This window comes from Homo sapiens, chromosome 3 (genome assembly GCF_000001405.40).
Source record: "Homo sapiens chromosome 3, GRCh38.p14 Primary Assembly".
Classification (NCBI taxonomy): Eukaryota; Metazoa; Chordata; class Mammalia; order Primates; family Hominidae; genus Homo; species Homo sapiens.
Window position 1 is genome coordinate 195393622 of NC_000003.12, and position 18565 is coordinate 195412186.

An 18565-nucleotide genomic window follows, 5' to 3' on the forward strand; every position below is an offset into this window, starting at 1 on the left:
CCTTAACCTAGAAAACATTTTTCATTCACATCAGTCCTCAGTCCCTTCACCTACTCATCATTTAAACTTAATTTACACACGAGAACAAATGTATGTGTATGAGGATATTCAGTGTAACGCGTTAGAAACCTAGATGTGCAGCAATAGGAAATAATGTAAATAAATTACCATATATCCATACCATTATGTGAGGCAGAAGATTTTAAATGAGGTTGATCTGTATCTACTGATATGGAAATCTGCACAGGATAGAGTATTATATTGGGGGGGGGGGAAGCAAGCTACAAAATTATATGCATAGCATGAGCTCAATTTGGGAGCATATTTATCAGTCTACGAACTACAACTCTGAAGAATGGGGATTTGATAGCAGAAAGTATAAATAAGGATTTGCGCTTTTTACTAAATTCTAGATTGTTTAACTATTTTCAGCAACTATGCATTTCTAAGCAACGTTTAAAGCTAATAAAGGGGAAAAAGAAGTCCAAACACCATCTCCCCAAGACATGGTCCTCCTGGAACCCCTCAACCACTCAAGCTGAATGGCGTACCCTCCCGTGCCCCTCCAGCACCTCACACACATTCTATCACTGTGCACCTCGCTCACTAGTCTCAGTTCCCCATAGCAGTACAGACACGCAAACAAAATGTTTGTTGAGCCAAGGGAGAAACTCACTAAGTACGCTAATTGTCAGATACCCTCTTCATTTACATTTTAACCTTTATTTATCTTTACTCAGTCTTCCATTTCTTTCAAGCAAATTAGTTGAAATGACCAGTTTGAGATTTAATCGTTGGTTTCTACTAAACAAATGGGTTGGGATAAACTTTTTGTAACTTCTCCAATCTTATTTCACTGTGCAATTCTACTAATTCACTTTTGTAAAACAACATGTTTAAAGAAAGGTAAGCAGCAAGGCACAGTGGCTCACGCCTGTAATCCCAGCACTTCGGGAAGCCGAGCTGGGCAGATCACTTGAGGCCAGGAGTTCTAGACCAGCCTGGCCAACAGAGCAAAAGCCAGTCTCTACTAAAAATACAAAAAGTAGCGTCAGGCCAGGAGTTTGAGACCAGCTTGGACAACAAAGCAAGACTCAGTCTCTCAAAAAATTCCAAATAAAAAATGTTAGCTAGGCACATAGTGTGTGGCTGTAATCCCAGCTACTGTGGATTCTGAGGCAGGAGGACTGCTTGAGCCCGGAGGATTGCTTTATTTAACCCAGGAGTTTCAAGTTACAGTGAGCTATGACTGCACCACTGCGCTCCTGCCTGGGCCACAGGGCAAGACTCCATCTCTTTTTTTTTTTTTTTTTTAAAGTAGGGGGTGGTAAAGACTAAATGAGGACTGTTCATATCATCAATCACAGTACATGACACAAAGAACAAAATCAATTCGCAGATGAATAGATGACTTCTATTCATTGAGATAGAACCATTCTGGGACATATGTTTAAAAAACTAATAAGTGAAATAAAAGAATTTACCCAACAATCTTTCAAAATATTAAATGATAGATATTAATTCTCTGCAATCCTCCCCAATTTTTACGAAGCACATAACTTTTATAAAAATGCAAGGCAATAAAGAGGCCAAAATTATAGACCCCTACCCTCCATAGCTTAAAATTTAATTTAAAAAAATCAAGTTATATACACATTAATAATGAAATAAAATATATGACTGAGCAGCAAAATGAGCAAAACAGAGAATAAGTAATAAGGGAGATAGATGTTAAGAGAAAGGGAAGAAAAGAGAAGACAATGAGCACAGTCACAAAGGTCAGCAAACAATTACCCAACAGGCAAGTTTGACCCATAACCTGTTTTTACAAAGTCTATAAGCTAAAAATAGTTCTTACATTTTTAAGTGGCTGAAAAATATTTTTAAAAAATAATATTTTGTGATGCATGAAAATTATATTAAACTCAAATTTCTGTTCCTCTAAAGTTTTACGGAAGCAGAGACAAGTTAATTCACTTCCGTAGTCTCTATGGCAGCTTCCACGCCATGATGGCGTAGTTGAGTAGCTGCAAGAGAGACCATATGGCCCACAAAGCATAAAATATTTACTATCTGGCCCTTTACAGAAAGTTTACTGACCATTAAGAATGTCAAATATAAGAACATGAATGAAAATCTTTTCTCATATATGAAATACATAAAAGAAAATAAAATTTGGACTTAGCTCTAGCAGTCTGTACTCTAAGAAGCTGAATAAGCCCAGAATTCAGAAAAACAGATACTTTATTTTTAATAACAATACCTTCATTCTCTTATCTATTCATGCATCATAGTTTTTTATTATCAATTGAAAAATAGTTACCTAAAAACATAAAACTAGAAGAGAAGCTGGGTGTGGTGGCTCATGCCTGTAATCCCAGCACTTTGGGAGGCTGAAGTGGGTGGATCACATAAGGTCAGGAGTTCAAGACCAGCCCAGCCAACATGGTGAAACCCCTTCTCTAATAAAAATATGAACATTAGCCAGGCGTGGTGGCAGGCACCTGTAATCCCAGCTACTAGGGAGGCTGAGGCAGGAGAATCACTTGAACCCAGGAGGTGGAGATTGCAGTGAGCTGAGATCGCGCCACTGCACTCCAGCCTGGGACACAAGAGCAAAACTCCATCTCAAAAAAAAACAAATAAGAAAACTAGAAGAGAAAAAAATCCAACAGCAAGTTTACCACCAAGACATGGCTATGAAATGAATGAGGCTCAAAAATAGAACTCTCTCCACTCAGATAACTGCATATTCTTGTAGCAATAAACTTTCTAAGCTACTGTTTGTAAAAAGAGTATACATTAAAATAACTAAATACATTAAATGTGTAACATGAGCATTACATTTTCCTTATAAAATTATTTTAAAGAAAAAAGAAGTATGGGCCGGGCACGGTGGCTCACGTCTGTAATCCCAGCACTTTGGGAGGCTGAGACAGGCAGATCACTTGAGGTCAGGAGTTCAATACCAGCCTGGCCAACATGGTGAAAACCTGTCTTACTAAAAATACAAAAATTAGCCAGGCATGGTGGCGCATGTCTGTAATCCCAACTACTTGGCAGGCTGAGGCAGGAGAATTGCTTGAACCCGGGAGGCAGAGGTTGCAGTGAGCCAAGATTGCATCACTGCACTCCAGCCTGGGAGACAGAGTGAGACTGTGTCTCAAAAAAGAAAAAAAAAAAAAAAAAAAAAGAAGAAGTATGCTAAATAATTATTTTTCCCATCCATTTAAAATCCTTAAAAACTAACAACCACCACCAAAAAAAAAAAACCCTTCATTCCAACTTGGCAATAGCCTTAAAATGAAATTAATAATTTAAAAAAAATTAGGTCACATGGTGATGCAATCTAAATTGCCAATAGCAGGATATTCAAGATCATTAATAGGCACATAAATATCCTCAAACATTAAAGGTGGATTTCAGGCTCTAAGTCATAACTACCTAATAAAGAAATCATCAAATAGAAATAAATATTCAAAATGTGCAGATTTTGAAACTGTTGTATTCTTTTGTTTTATATAATACATGTATTTCTAAAAGCTGCATGTAAATTGAATAACCGTTTAGAGACTCAGGAGAGGTGCCTATATGTATGTGTCCATCATAGTACCTATCACCCTAAGTCAACTTCCTCTTTCAGCTCAACAGCCTTATGTACCTTGGGCAATGCTGGACTATTCTTTGCAAGGAAAGGACAACAGCTGCATCAAGGATGGCCCACTGACCCAAGGGCAGTCCTGGGATTTGTTAAGTGGTTAAAAAAGAGTGACGAAAAGGTCCTATACCAATGAGATTACTCCCTCTGTTTTCGACCAGAAAACAACACAGCACACACTCTAGAAACCTGCTTTTTAATAGAAGTGCTCCATTAAATACTTTTATAATGTGAATGGCCACCCCTTATTAGTTTGATTAAGTTCTGGGTCCTCTATGCTGGGTCTCTACAATATCTCTATGTTGAGAGGCAGTAGAATAAAGTTCAAAAAAAAAAAAGAAAACTTCTTGTGTTTGAATCGCTACTATACTTCTTATTAGCTGTGTAATGATGAACAAGTTGTGTTTCGGTTTCTTCTCTAAAACATAGATAAACAACACTCTCTCCCACAGAGACGTATGACAAATGTTAATATACATGTGAAAACACTAAGTAGTCAGTGAATGTCAGCTATGATTATTTACATAGTGTTAAAGAAAATGCACAATCTCTTTTTGTTTTCATGTTATGGGGCCACCTGAGAAGAAAGCAGTAATAAGATCATCACATACTTCCAAAATGAATTTGAAATAGTCTGAAAAGGGGCAAAAACAGTTAAAACAGGCCTAAGATCAGCAATTAAAACAGCAAATCTAATTTCCTTTAAGAGAAAACACTTCTAGGCGTGCAAAAGGCTTACTGGAAGAGAGACAAAAACACAATACTGCTGTCCCTTTCCAAAGATCACACGTCAAATACAGACTGGAGTCCTCTCCTAACTTCCTAACTTCAATCTAGACTAGAGGACTACATATATATGACATATAAAATGATGAAATATTTAAAAATCCACTTGGTTTCTAAGGTTATCAAGGAAGGTTCTATCCAACTCCTCTAAGAGCCTAAAAACAGAGGAGAACCAACATAGAATCAGTATGAAGGAAGGTTACAGTTCTAAATTTATATTTACACTTAATCTTAGCCAAAAGGCCAAGAAGCAACTGTATATTTGTTACATAATAACCTTTTATAAATATCTCCACTGGCCAGGCATGGTGGCTCACGGCTGTAATCCCAGCACTTTGGGAGGCCAAGGCAGGTAGATCACGGGAGGTCAGGAGTTCGAGGCCAGCCTGATCAACATGGTGAAACCCTGTCTCTACTAAAAATGCGCCAGGCATGGTGGCGCATGCCTGTAATCCCCGCTACTCGGGAGGCTGAGGCAGGAGAATCACTTGAACCCAGGAGACAGAGGTTGCGGTGAGCCAAGATCACACCATTGCACTCCAGCCTGGGCAACAAGAGTGAAACTCCAACTCTAAATAAATAAATAAATAAATAAATAAATAAATAAATAAATAAAATGTCTCTGCCTTCATTGTTTTCAAAAGTTTCAAGGGATGAAATTCAAAGGTCTTTCTTCTCTATTTATTATCTTACAAATGTTGTAACTGCTCCTACGTGCTCAAATTGATCTACTAAGCAAACCTAGCTAGATCCATGAGAAATTCAGTCCTGTAATAGGAAAGGGAGTAGTGGAAAAACAAACTAGAAATGGAAACCAATATTTTAGTCTGTCAACTCATACGAGCCCCTGAGAAAATCATTTAATCACACCAGACCTCAGCTCTCTCACTCTGAAACAGCTTGACTATCACTTCAAGACCTAACATTCCATTATTTGGGATTAAGCATTCAAAGGAAAGCTATTGGGTTGGGGCAAAAGTAATTGCGGTTTTTGCCATTACTTTTGCACCAATCTAATAGAACCTGGATTTGTTTCTCTTCTAAGTAAGATTTCCTCCAGGCCCTTGCTTTTGCTTTCAAAAGAGTTAAGGGAGGAAAAAAATGTTTAAGCCATAAAAAAAACCTCACCAGATTTTATATTAACAAGTTTCATTCATCTTCTCAAAAGTCTCCTCTGCATAGTTCTTAAAAGACAAGGAGTATGAATATAGATGAAAATAGTGGGATTTTAAAAGTGTTTTGTTTGGCTTAATATTTTGGAGGAAAACAGATTTATTTTATTTTTTGTAGAGACAGGATCTCATTATGCTGACCAGTCTTGTTGACCAGTCTGGTCTCGAACTCCTGGCCTGAAGCAATCCTCCCATCCCAGCCTCCCAAAGTACTAGGATTACAGGCGTGAGCCATAACACTTGGCCAGAAAAAAAATTTTGTTTTCCATCTACGTTTGTATCTTTCTAAGCAAGCCCCATTATATTTCTGTTTTACAGATTGTAAACATTACTCTGCCACTTCCCAGTGGGGAAAAAAAAAACTTTTTTTAAAAAAAGTAGCGAAAAAAAAAATCTATAACCCTTTTCCCCTCAAATTTTCCCCCATCAATACACAGTATCCAAAATAAAAACCATCAGGGGCCATGGAGGAGTATAATTGAAAAAGCAACCAAATCACAGCACAAGGTTGAGATGCAAATAGTATGGCTCTGGTGAATGAATATCACACTCTTAAGTCATAACTCAGATATCAACAACCCCTTTAAATCCCAGCTCATGATTTAAAAAATAAAAAAATTTAAAAAAAGGAAGAACTTAAAATATTATCCAGATAATAGGACCGGGTGCAGTGGCTCATGCCTGTAATCCCAGCACTTTGGGAGGCCGAGGTGGGAGGATCACCTGAGGTTGGGAGTTCGAGAGCAGCCTGACCAACATGATGAAACCCTGTCTCTACTAAAAATACAAAATTAGCCGGGTATGGTGGCGCATGCCTGTAATCCCAGCTACTCGGGGGGCTGAGGCAGGAGAATCGCTTGAACCTGGGAGCCAAAGGTTGTGGTGAGCCAAGATCGCACCATTGCACTCCAGCCTGGGCAACAAGAATGACAGTCCGTCTCAAAAAAAAAAACAACAAAAAAATACGTATGTGTATATATATATGTGTGTGTATATATATATATATTCCAGATAATCATCCTACATGGAGAATTTGAGGTGGGAGGAGAGGTCTATAGAATCTTCTGTTCCTGGGCCTTCAGCTTCTCATATTAACAGGTATATGATTTCAATAGTCACTTCCAAATTTGCTCTGCATAAAGACAGTAGCTATATACAGTCATTTTTAACATGTGTAGTGGCAAATAATCATTATTGACAGAATACTAATCCAAGGAAATACTAGTAATGTTTTAAGTGTGATCAGATATGAAGTTATTCTTTTTCCCTTAAAAAAAAAAAAAACCTCTTCTTTTTAAAGTTGACTTTCTACAAAATCATTCCATTTCCAAGAATTCTTATCATTGTAGTAGGCTTCAACATGACAGGAAAATTAAGTTATCACTGCTTAAAGGGTTAGAATCAAATTTTCAACCAAAGCAGTTAAAGTTTGTTGTTATTAGTAGAGTGTCACAGGCAATACATCTAAGGAGAAGACAGCATTGTAAACTTCATGATTCATAAAAGGGGCAGAGGAGATTTCCATGAAGAAAGAACATTGTGGCTGATAATAATGAAAAGACAACCAAGTATCTCAAAGATGGGATATAAGCAGACCCTCAATGAGAGAACAAAGCAAGATGATAAGAATATTTAGGGACAGTTCCAGACAAAACTGTCAAAAATTAGAATCAGAGGCCAGGCGAGGTGGCTCATGCCTGTAATACTGGCAATAGTTTGGGAGGCCAAAGCAGGAGGACAGCGTGAGCCCAAGAGTTTCAGACCAGTCCCAGCAGCATAGCAAGACTCCGTCTCTGTAATTAACTAATTAATTAACTACATTATAATCAGAAACCTGCCATATTCCTGCTTTTATGGCTGTTCCCCATTATCCTTTTCAGGAATTGGAAGTGGTACTGAAGGCACAGAATACCCTGCAAATCACAGCAGGTAGGGAACCAAATACTCAGCCTTGCAGGGTTCTCTCCACGACATACCACAGGCTGCTCAACAATCACATCTATAACTTTCCCAGACTCCTCCATAAACAACCAAGCATCTTATTAATACATAATAAAAGTTATTCTGCATTACATCTTCCTATGTTTTATAATCTACATGCCACCTTCATGCATGATATCACATGTGTATATTAAGAGAAGACTAGGCTGGGCGCAGTGGCTCAGGCCTGTAATCCCAGCATTTTGGGAGGCCAAGGTGGGTGGATCTCTTGAGGTCAGGAGTTTGAGACCAGTCTGACCAACGCAGTGAAACCCTGTCTGTACTAAAAATACAAAAAAATTAGCCAGGCGTGGTGGTGCACGCCTGCAATCCCAGCTACACCGGTTGCTGAGGCAGGAGGATCACTTGAACCCGGGAGGCAGAGGTTGCAGTGAGTTGAGATTGTGCCACTGCGCTCCAGCTTGGGAGACAGTGAACTCTGTATCCAAAACAAAGAGAGAAGACTACAGAACAGTAACGTGAAATATGAAGAGAAAAGCATTGAGTACATAAGCAACAACCCCAGAATCACAGAATCTTGAATGGGGAGAAAACTTAGTAAACTGCTAAATGACAGAACTATTAGATGACAGTAAAGCAGCTGTGTTTAAAAAACCGTTTTACACAGTATTTCATCTCCATTAAGCCCCAGAAATTTGACAAGATCTGTAAAGAGGAAGCTGAATACAAATTTAAGAGCCTAATAAACAGGCTCAGGGTTTTAAAGACAATCTTCACACCATAAACCACCTGGGATGGTAAACTTCGAACACTGAAGCACCTTCTACTCCTCAGCAGAATGAGCACCCCACCACCACCATTTCCACAGAGCACTCTGCACACTTCAAACAGAGCGCCTGACATTCAATTTACTAATGATAATTAAATTATTGGTCATTATGTCTAGACTGAGGGCCTCAAAAGCAGACACTATGATTCATTTAGCTATCTCTAGTTCAGCTAGTTACCAGGTAAACATTTGTTGAATGGGTGATGAATGGAGCATTTAAAACAACTCTGTTATTTGCGGCCTGGGGTCACGCAAAATGGTGATCTCCCTGTATCTCAGTACACACGTACTTATGTGTAACTTTCCAATTCCCTCTTGCTCCAGCCTTGTGATTCCAATCTGCTGTGCCCTCTCCAGCCTTATATAAATGATACTATAAAAGTCTCCAGAAAAAAATAAAAGAATAAAGAACTACAAACAATTGCATAAACCTTAAAACTAAAGTTATAATGAAAAAAGGAAAAAGTCCTCTTTTGGCATACAAGGTCGCACCTATTTACCTATATGTAACCAATATTATACATATAACTTTTTAAGTTGACAGAAAAGGAAAATTTTTATAATACTCTTCTAGAATAATACAGATTTGGACTTCTAAAACAGGCCTTGACAGAAATTTGACAGGAGCTAAGGAGGTATTCGCTCTACCACGAGCACAAAATTACATTATCATGATTTCTTCAACACATACAATTTATGATCAGACAGGATCCTTGGACACTCAAAGAAAAGAATCAAACAAGTTATACTAATCAGAAACAGGGAAAAGTTTAAGAGCAGCAACTTAAAATTTGTTTTTTAAAAAACACCATTCCTAGAAAAATTCTGGCAAATGAAAAAATTTCCCTTTTCTTTAACAACAAACGGCAGCAAATGTCTATTGTTTGGAATATAAGAAGAAAATAAACAATGATCCTTACCATCCTAGAGCTTACATTCTGAAGGGGAAGACAAGCTATAAACAGTAAACATCATCAATAAGTCAATTGGATGGTATGCGATAAGGTGGTAAGTACCATGGGAAAAAAGGAAAGTGAAATAAGGGGAGAGAGGGACGGCTACAGTTTTACTATTTAAAATTGATCAAAATAGTCCTCACTGAGAAAGTGACATTTGACCAAAGACCTGAAGTAACACAGTGAACCATGCAGACAAGGGTGTTAACAGGCAGAAAAAGCCACCAATGCAACATTCCTGGAACGTTCAATAGCAAGGAGGCCTGTACGGCCGAAACAGAACCAGAAAGGGAGAGAGCTGCGGAAGAAGTCAGAATACTAATGGAGAGTCCCATCACATTCAGAACCTTGTAGGCCCATAGCAACGATAACAGCAGCTATACCAGGTAACCACTGAAAGGTCTGCACCAGAGAAGAACCATGCTGTAAAGTATTTTGTCAAGACTCATTCTGGCTGCTACGTGGAGAAGACTGCAAAGAAACAAAAGAGGAAGAAGCAAAGAGACTAGTAAGGAGGCTACAGCAGTCATCCAGATGAAAGATGAAGATGGCTCAAGGTAAGCACCAATCAGTGCTGAGAAATGCTAAGATTCTGGATATATTTTGTATGTAGAACCAAGAGGATTTCTTGATGAATTAGATGTGATATGCAAGCATATGCATGCGTACACCAGGTACAGGTAAATGTGTAATCAAGTATAATTTCAAAGTTTCAGGCTGGAGCAAAAAGAAAAATAGTTACAATCAACGGAGATGGGCAAGACTACAGGCGGAACAGATTTAGGGAAAGAAGATCTAGAGTTCAGTTTTGGATTTGACTCCAAAATATCTACTAGATATACAAGTGATGACTTCAAATAGGTGGATGCACCTGAGTCTAGAGTTTAGGAGAGAAGTCTGAGTTGGAGGTATAAGTTTAGTAATCAAGAGCACATAGATAGTATCGGCAGCCATTAGACTGGACATTATTAAAATAAAAAGTAAAGATAGAGATGACTTAAGCTTTGGGGCATTTTGACATTAAAGGTCAGAAGAACAAAAGGAATGAGGAAAAGAATCTGAGAAGCAGCAACTGATGACATAAGAAGAAAACCAGGCCCCGCACGGTGGCTCATTCCTATAATCCCAGCTCTTTGGAAGGCTGAGGCACAAGAATCACTTGAGCCCAGGAGTTCAAGACCAGCCTAGGCAACATACATACATACACACATAAAATAAGAAGAAAACCAAGAGGGTGTCATAGAGAAGGGAAGTGAAAAAAGTGTTATCAAGGAAGAAGGAGTAATCAAGTATGTCAAAAGCTGCCGACAGGTCAAACAAGAGGACTAAGAATTAACATCAGGTTTAAGTCAAATTAAAATGGCTGAAAACAATTTTAGAAATGTTGAAAAACACTTCTGGCCTGATATTTTTGATGAACCAAAAATGTGCTTCTAAGGAAGAGATAAAATATTTTTAAATATCCCAGAAATATAAAATTATTGAATTATAGGCAGCACATGAGAATAAAAATGTTCCCAACTAGATACCCTGAAAATGAGTTGTAACATTCAGGAAGAAAGGTAAGTAACCAGATTCCCTGCCTCCCCTTTCCATTCTCAACCCATTCCGCGAAGCTAAATGTAATTCATTGGATGAAAAAGAAATCTTCATTTTCTTTCTCAGAAGGCTGAGGCAAAAGTTATATTGCCATATATACACACACACACACATATATATTTATATACATACACACATATATAGTTTATATACACACACGCACATATGTATTTATATATACACACATACGTATTTATATAATATAAATATAATTATATAATTATAATATATAATTTTTTCTTTTTTTTTTTTGGAGACAGAGTCTTGCTCTGTCGCCCAGGCTGGAGTGCAATGGCACAATCTCAGCTCACTGCAACCTCTGCTTCCCAGGTTCAAGCGATTCTCCTGCCTCAGCCTCCTGAGTAGCTGGGATTACAGATGAGCACCACAACACCCGGCTACTTTTTTTTCTACTTTTAGTAGAGACGGCTTTCACCATGTTGTCCAGGCTGGTCTCGAACTCCTGATCTCAAGTGATCCGCCCGCCCCAGCCTCCCAAAGTGCTGGGATTATAGGCATGAGCCACCGCAACCAGCCTATTGCCGCTTAAACACAGTCTAACTCCTACAAATACAAGGACTGCTAATCTAGCTCTCACTCTCCATGAGACAAGGTACGGACAGATCGAGATCTGTGCTTTCTTGTCTTTCTATAAAATTAGGATTGATTGCAATCCAACTCTATGGTTCATTTTGTATGGCTATGGTTACTGTTACCCTTTGCTGATGAACTCTCAAAATTAAAGGAACACATATACAAGCCCAATCACTTCCAATTAATTTCATCAACTGTTAAGGATGATGTATTGGTCTGTTCTTTCATTGCTATAAAGAAACACCTGAGGTCTGGTACGGTGGCTCACGCCGGTAATCCCAGCACTTTGAGAGGCCAAGGTGGGCAGATCACGAGGTCAGGAGTTCGAGACCAGCCTGATCAACGTGGTGAAACCCCCATCTCTATTAAAAATACAAAAATTAGCTGGGTGTGGTGGCGCACACCTGTAATCCCAGCTACTCAGGAGGCTGAGGCAGGAGAATTGCTTGAACCCAGGAGGCGGAGGTTGCAGTGAGCTGAGATTGCACCACTGCACTCCAGCCTAGGCAACAGAGTGAGACTCCATCTCAAAAAAAAAAAAAAGTATCTGAGACTGGGTAATTTATAAAGAAAAGAGGTTTAATTGGCTCATGGTTCTGCAGGCTGTATAGGAAGCATGATAGTGGCTTCAGGAAGGCCTCAGGAAACCAAATCACGGCAGAAGGCAAAGGGGAAGCAAATGCATCTTACATGGCCAGAGCAGGAGCCAGGGGCAGGGGGAGGAGTTACACATTCTTAAACAAACAGATCTTGTGAGAACTTCATCACAAGAACAGCACCAAGAGCATGATGGTAAACCATTCATGAGAAACTGCCCCCATGATCCAATCACCCCCACACCAGGCTTACCTCCAGCAATGGGGATTACAATTTAACATGAGATTTGGGCGGGGACACAGAACCAAACCATATCAGGTGGATTATACATTCTGTCCTACAAATTTAGCAGTCTTGTCTTTCAGCAATAAACATAAATGGAAAACTGGGTTACCTCTGCTTGAATAATCAATCTAGCTACATTAACCTTAATGCAATCACATCAAGAATCAAGAGTCAAGAATCTTTATACTTCAAAATTTATTTTCTATCAATAAGTCCTCACCCTCTTATTTAAATATCCTCATAGTCTAAAGGAGATTGTGTAATTTAAGTGATAGACTGTAAAACTTCAGTCATGTGTACTCAGGCTGGGCATTTATTTATATTCTATAGTTTATCACTAGATATAATCCACTGATTTACCATGGCTAGGAAAGGACTACAGATACAGTGGATACTCATTAAAACACCTGTTGATTTCTACAGCATCATAGTTGCACATTCCTGGTGGTACCTAATATTACCATCTAAATAACAGAAAACTATTCATCCCAAGACACCAGATTGAGAGAACTAAAAATCCCGGCCTCAAGTGATCCTCCCACCCTGACCTCCCAAAGTGTTGAGTTTACAGGGGTAAGCCTTCTTTTCTTTCTTCTAAGCTACAGGTTTGATCAAACACTCAGTTCCCCTTTTGTTCCAGATAGTTTGTATTTTGAGTAAATATTTCATATGCCTTTATTCTTGGCCCTAGATTTTACCACTTTACATTGATTGGATTTGAGTAAGTCTGCTGACAGCTTTGACAGTTAGTCATGAACTTACCTTCATAAAACTCGTAAGTATACACTTCCAAGGAAGTATAAACTAAGACACGCTACAAATTCAAAATATGTTGTGTCTGACAGAATTCAAGGAGAAAGAAATGTAAACTACTAAAATTTTTGCAGACAGATAGATTGGCTTAAATGCTTAAATATTATCTGTCCTATAGCTTAAATCTTGTCATGTAACATATTTAAATATGTCTTTAATGACCCACCTTATAAAAGGATCCTATGAGAGAGAGAGGAAGGAAGGCAGACAGGCAAAAAAAGGACATTTTCACTTCATAAAAATTTAAATATCTGTACATGCAATATAAAAAAATGCAGTTAAATAATTCTTATTAGTGAATGGAAATAAAATTTTGAAACTAAACTTATAGAAAGAACATTTTTAGTTTAAAAAAAAAAAAAAAGCCACGGGTGGTAGCTCCATGTCTATAATCCCAGCACTTTGGGAAACTGAGGTGGGAGGATTGTTTGAGCCCAAGAGTTTGAGACCAGCCTGGGCAACACAGCAAGCCTCCATCTTCACAAAAAAAGTTTGAGTTATTTTTTAAATTAAAAAAAGGAAAAAATACATTAAAAATATAGTTATAAATGCTCACATTAAAAAACAAGAAAGTCCTGGGCACAGTGGCTCACACCTGTAGTCCCAACACTTTGAGGAGCCAAGGCAAGCAGATCACTTAAGCTCAGAAGTTTGAGACAAGCCTGGGCAACATGACAGAACCCAATCTCTACAAAAAATACAAAAATTAGCCGGGCATGGTGGTGCATGCCTATAGCCCCAGCTACCTGGGAGGCTGGATCACTGGAGCCTGAAGGTAGACATTGCAGTGAGATGAGATGATGCCACTGCACTCCTGCCTGGGCAACAGAGTAAGACTCCGTCTCAAAAGAAAAAAGAAAGATAGATCTCAGAGATCAATAACCTAACTTTATGACTTAAGGAACCAGAAAGAGAAGATGAAACCAAAACCAAAGCTAGCAGGTGGAAAGAAAGATTACAGCAAATATAAAAGAAACAGAAAGTAGAAAAACGACAGAGAAAAGTCAATGAAACCAAAAACTCGTTCTTTGAAATACCAACAAAATGACAAACCTTTAGCTCTACAGAATTTTTTTTAAAAAGAAGACTCAAATTACTAAAGTCAGAAGTGAAAATGGGGACATTATTACCAATTCCAGAGAAATAAGATTATAAGAGAGTACTATGAGCAAGTATATGCCAACAAACCGGACAAGCTAGGTGAAATGCAAAATTCCTAGAAACACAACTTATCAAGACTTTAGTCTTTTCTCATAAAGAAAGAGAAAATCTGAATAGACTTATAACTAGTAAAAAGATTGAATCTGTCATCGAAAATCTCCAAAACAGGCCAGGCATAGTGGCTCATGCCTGTAATCCCAGCACTTTGGGAGCCCAAGGCAGGCGGTCTGCTTTCAGCTCAGAAGTTCCAGACCAGTCTGGGCAACACGGCGAAACCCTGTCTCTACAGGAGGTACAAAAATTAGCCGGGCATTGGTGGCTCACACCTGTAGTCACAGCTACACGGGAGGCTGAGGCACAAAAATCACTTGAGCCCGAAAAGCAGAAGTTGCAGTGAGTAGAGATTATGCCACTGGACTCCAGCCTGGGTGACAGAGTGAGATCCTGTCTCAAAAAAAGAAAAAAAAATTAAGTCCTAGACCTAATGGCTTCACTGGCAAATTCTACCAAGCATTTAAAGACGAACTTACACCAACCCTTCTCAGACTTTTCCAAAAAAGTGAAGAGGAAGAAAACTTCCAAACTCATTTTATGATGCCAGCATTACCCTGATACCAAAGCCAGACACTACTGGAAAAGAAAACTATGGAACAATATCCCTTATGAACACTGATGCAAAAATTCTCAACAGAAGACTAGCAAACTGAATTCTACAGCATAGTAAAAGGATTATACACCATGACCTAGTAGAATTTATTCCTGGAATGCAAGAATAATTCAACATATGAAGAAAAAACAATGTACTATACCACATCAACAGAATGAAGGGAAAAAAATCCATGATCATCTCCATTGATGCATAAAAATCATACTGACAAAATTCTTTTTTTCATGATAAAAACACTTAACAAAAAGGAATAAAAGGAAACTACTTCAACATAATAAAAGCCATATACCAAAAAACCACAGTGAACATCATACTCTACTGAAAGCTTCCCTGTAGGATTAGAAACAAGGCAAGGATGCTGCTTTCAACACTTCTATTCAACATAGCACTGGAAGTCCCAGTCAGAGTCGCTAGGCAAGAAAAAGAAAAAAAAAAAAGGAATCAAATTGAAAAGGAAGAAGTAAAAGTATTTCTGTTTACAGACAATATGACCTTATTTTGTATGTAGAAAACCCTAAAGATTCCACAAAGGAACCTGTTAGAATAAATGAATTCCTCAAAGTAGCAGGATATAGTCAACATACAAAAATCAGTTGCATTTCTATACACATTAAGAATGTACAATCTGAAAAGGAAATTAAGAAAACAATGCCATTTATAATAGCATCAAAATAGTCAAAACACTTAGAAAATCACTTAACCAGTAAGTTGAAAGGCTTGTACAATAGAAACTATAAGGCATTCCTGGGGGAAAAAAAAAAGTACAAAAGAAATAAACAAATGGAAACATATCCCATGTTAATGAATTGGAAGACTTAATATTGTTAAGATGTCAATTACCCAAAGCCTTCTACAGATTTAATGCAATTCTTGTCAAAATCACAATGATGTTTTTTGTAGAAATAGAAAAACCTGGCTGGGCACAGTGGCTCACGCCTGTAATCTCAGCACCCTGGGAGGCTGAGGTGGGAGGATCACTTGAGGTCAGGAGTTCAAGACCAGCCTGGCCAACATGGTGAAACCCCATCTTTACAAAAAATACAAAAATTAGCTGGGTGTGGTGGCAGGCACCTATAATCCCAGCTACTCGGGAGGCTGAGGCAAGAGAATTGCTTGAACCTGGGAGGCAGATGTTGCAGTGAACCAAGATTGCGCCACTGCACTCCAGCCTGGGTAACAGAGTGAGTGAGACTCCATCTCAAAAAAAAAAAAAAAAAAAAAAAAAAACAGAAATAGAAAAACCTATCCTAAAATTCATATGAAATCTCAAGGGACAATGGATAGCCAAAACAATCCTGAAAAAGAAAAGCAAAACTGGAGGATTCACACTTTCTGATTTCAAAACTTACCACAAAGCCACAGTAATCAAACAGACGAATACTGTCATAAAGACAGCCATATAGACCTCCAGAATAGAACACAGTCCAGAATTAACCCTCATATATATATTCAAATGATTTTTGTCAAGAGTATCACTACAATGCAATGGGGAAAAGTCAGTCCTTTCAACAAATGGTGCTTGTAAAACTGGATATCCACATGCAAAAGAATGAAGACCCTTACCTAACACCACATACAAAAATTAACTCAAAAGAGATCCATGACTGAAATGTTAAGATCTAAAACTATAAAACTCTTAGAAGAAAACGTAGATTAAAAGCTTTATGACACTGAATTTGGTAATTTCTTGGATATGATACCAAAAGCACAGGCAACAAAAGACAACAGACAAACTGCACTTCATAAAACTGAAAAATTTTGTGTATCAAAAGACACAGAGTAAAAAATCCATCCACAGAATGGGAGAAAATACTTGCAAATCATCTGGTAAGGGATTAATATCCAGATTACACAGAGAACTCCTAAAACTCAACAACAAAGACACAAACAACATGATACAAGAATGGGCAAAGGATCTGAATAGACGTTTCTCCACAGACGATATACGACTGGCCAATCAGCACATGAAAAGAAGGTCAACATCACTAATCATTAGGGAAACACAAATCAAAACTACAAGATACTACCTGCTATGGTTTGAATGTTTGTGTCTCTCCAAAATTCATGTTGAAACTTGATCTCCATTGTCACAGTATGAAGAGGTGGGGCCTTTGGGGAAGTGATGAAGACATGAGGGCTCCGCCTTCATGAATGGATTAGTGCTCTTATAAAAGAGGCTGAAGAAAGGGTCCTAATGGTCCCTTTTTTGCCCTTCCACCTTCTGCCATTGAGGACACATCAACAAGGTGCCATCTTGAAAGCAGAGATAGCTGGCCCTCACCAGACACTAATCTGCTGGCATCTTTATCTTGGACTTCCCAGCTCCAGAACTGTGAGAAATAAATGTGTATTATTTATAAATTATCTAGTCAGTGCTATTCTGCCATCGATGCAGGAACAGACTAAGAAGCCATCTCACACCCATTAGGATGGCTACTAAAAAAAACATAACAAGTGTCAATGAGGACGTGGAGTCACTGGATCCCTTCCGCACTGTTGGTGGGAATGTAAAATGGTACCACTATTGTGGAAAGTACTATGGCAACACTTCAAAAAATTAAAACAGAATTACCATGTGATCTAGCTATTCCACTTCTGAGTATATACTCAAAAAACCTGAAAACTGAGTACCGAAGAAATATTTGTATACCCATGTTCACAGCCGCATTATTCACAATAGATAAAACGTGAAAGCAATTCAAGTGTCCACCAACAGAAAAATGGATAAGCACAACATGACGTGTGCATATAATAGAATACGCATCCTTTTACCTAATATGAATGTACTTAATACCACTGAGCTGTATACTTAAAAAATGGTCAAGACGATAAGTTTTATGTTATGTGTATTTAAACACAATTTTTTAAATTGGAAGAAAAAATACATTGAAACAATTTTCACATCAAAAGGCACACATTTTATTTAGCTATTTCCTTGGTAATCTACAATATTTTTCCTCTAACTGGCATATTCCTAGTACAGGCCAATTCCAAATGAATAAATTTCTAGATCAAACCACGGAGAGACTTACAGATAATTAACAAAATAAAATAAATATGCAGCATTAAAACTCACACTGTAAGGCCAGGAGTGGTGGCTCATGCCTGTAATCCCAGCACTTTGGGAGGTCAAGGCAGGAAGATCTCTTGAAGGCAGGAGTTTGAGACTAGCCTGGACAACAAAGCAAGACCCTGTCTCTATTTAGTAATAAGGAAAAAAAAAAAAAACTCACAATGAATGTCAAAAACAAATTGTTTTTAAGCTGGATCTTGATAATGGTAAAGGATTATATCATCACTTACCACACAGACCTGCCAGCAAAATGCTTAAGAATCTACACTTGGCTAAAAATAAGAATTGGGGGCTGGGTGCAGTGGCTCATGCCTATGATCCCAGCACTTTAGGAAGCCAAGAAAGGAGGATTGCTTGAAGCCAGGAGTTCCAGTTCAAGACCAGCCTGGGTCACAGAGTGAGACCCTGTCTCAAAAAAAAAAAAAAAAAAAAAA

General features: G+C 38.2%; 1 protein-coding gene across 13 annotated transcripts in view, besides 1 other annotated feature; it reads right to left on the reverse strand.

Moving 5' to 3' along the window:
- The window catches only part of ACAP2 (ArfGAP with coiled-coil, ankyrin repeat and PH domains 2), a 168276-nt gene that overhangs the window by 118877 nt on the left and 30834 nt on the right, over positions 1-18565 (reverse strand). The gene's annotated exons all lie outside the window — the stretch shown is intronic.
- Positions 1133-1222: an enhancer, noted in NCBI's record as "active region_21054". NCBI's record gives its function as "activates an Ori minimal core promoter by ATAC-STARR-seq in GM12878 lymphoblastoid cells {active_cell/tissue: GM12878}" and the evidence as "EXISTENCE:reporter gene assay evidence [ECO:0000049][PMID:35858748]".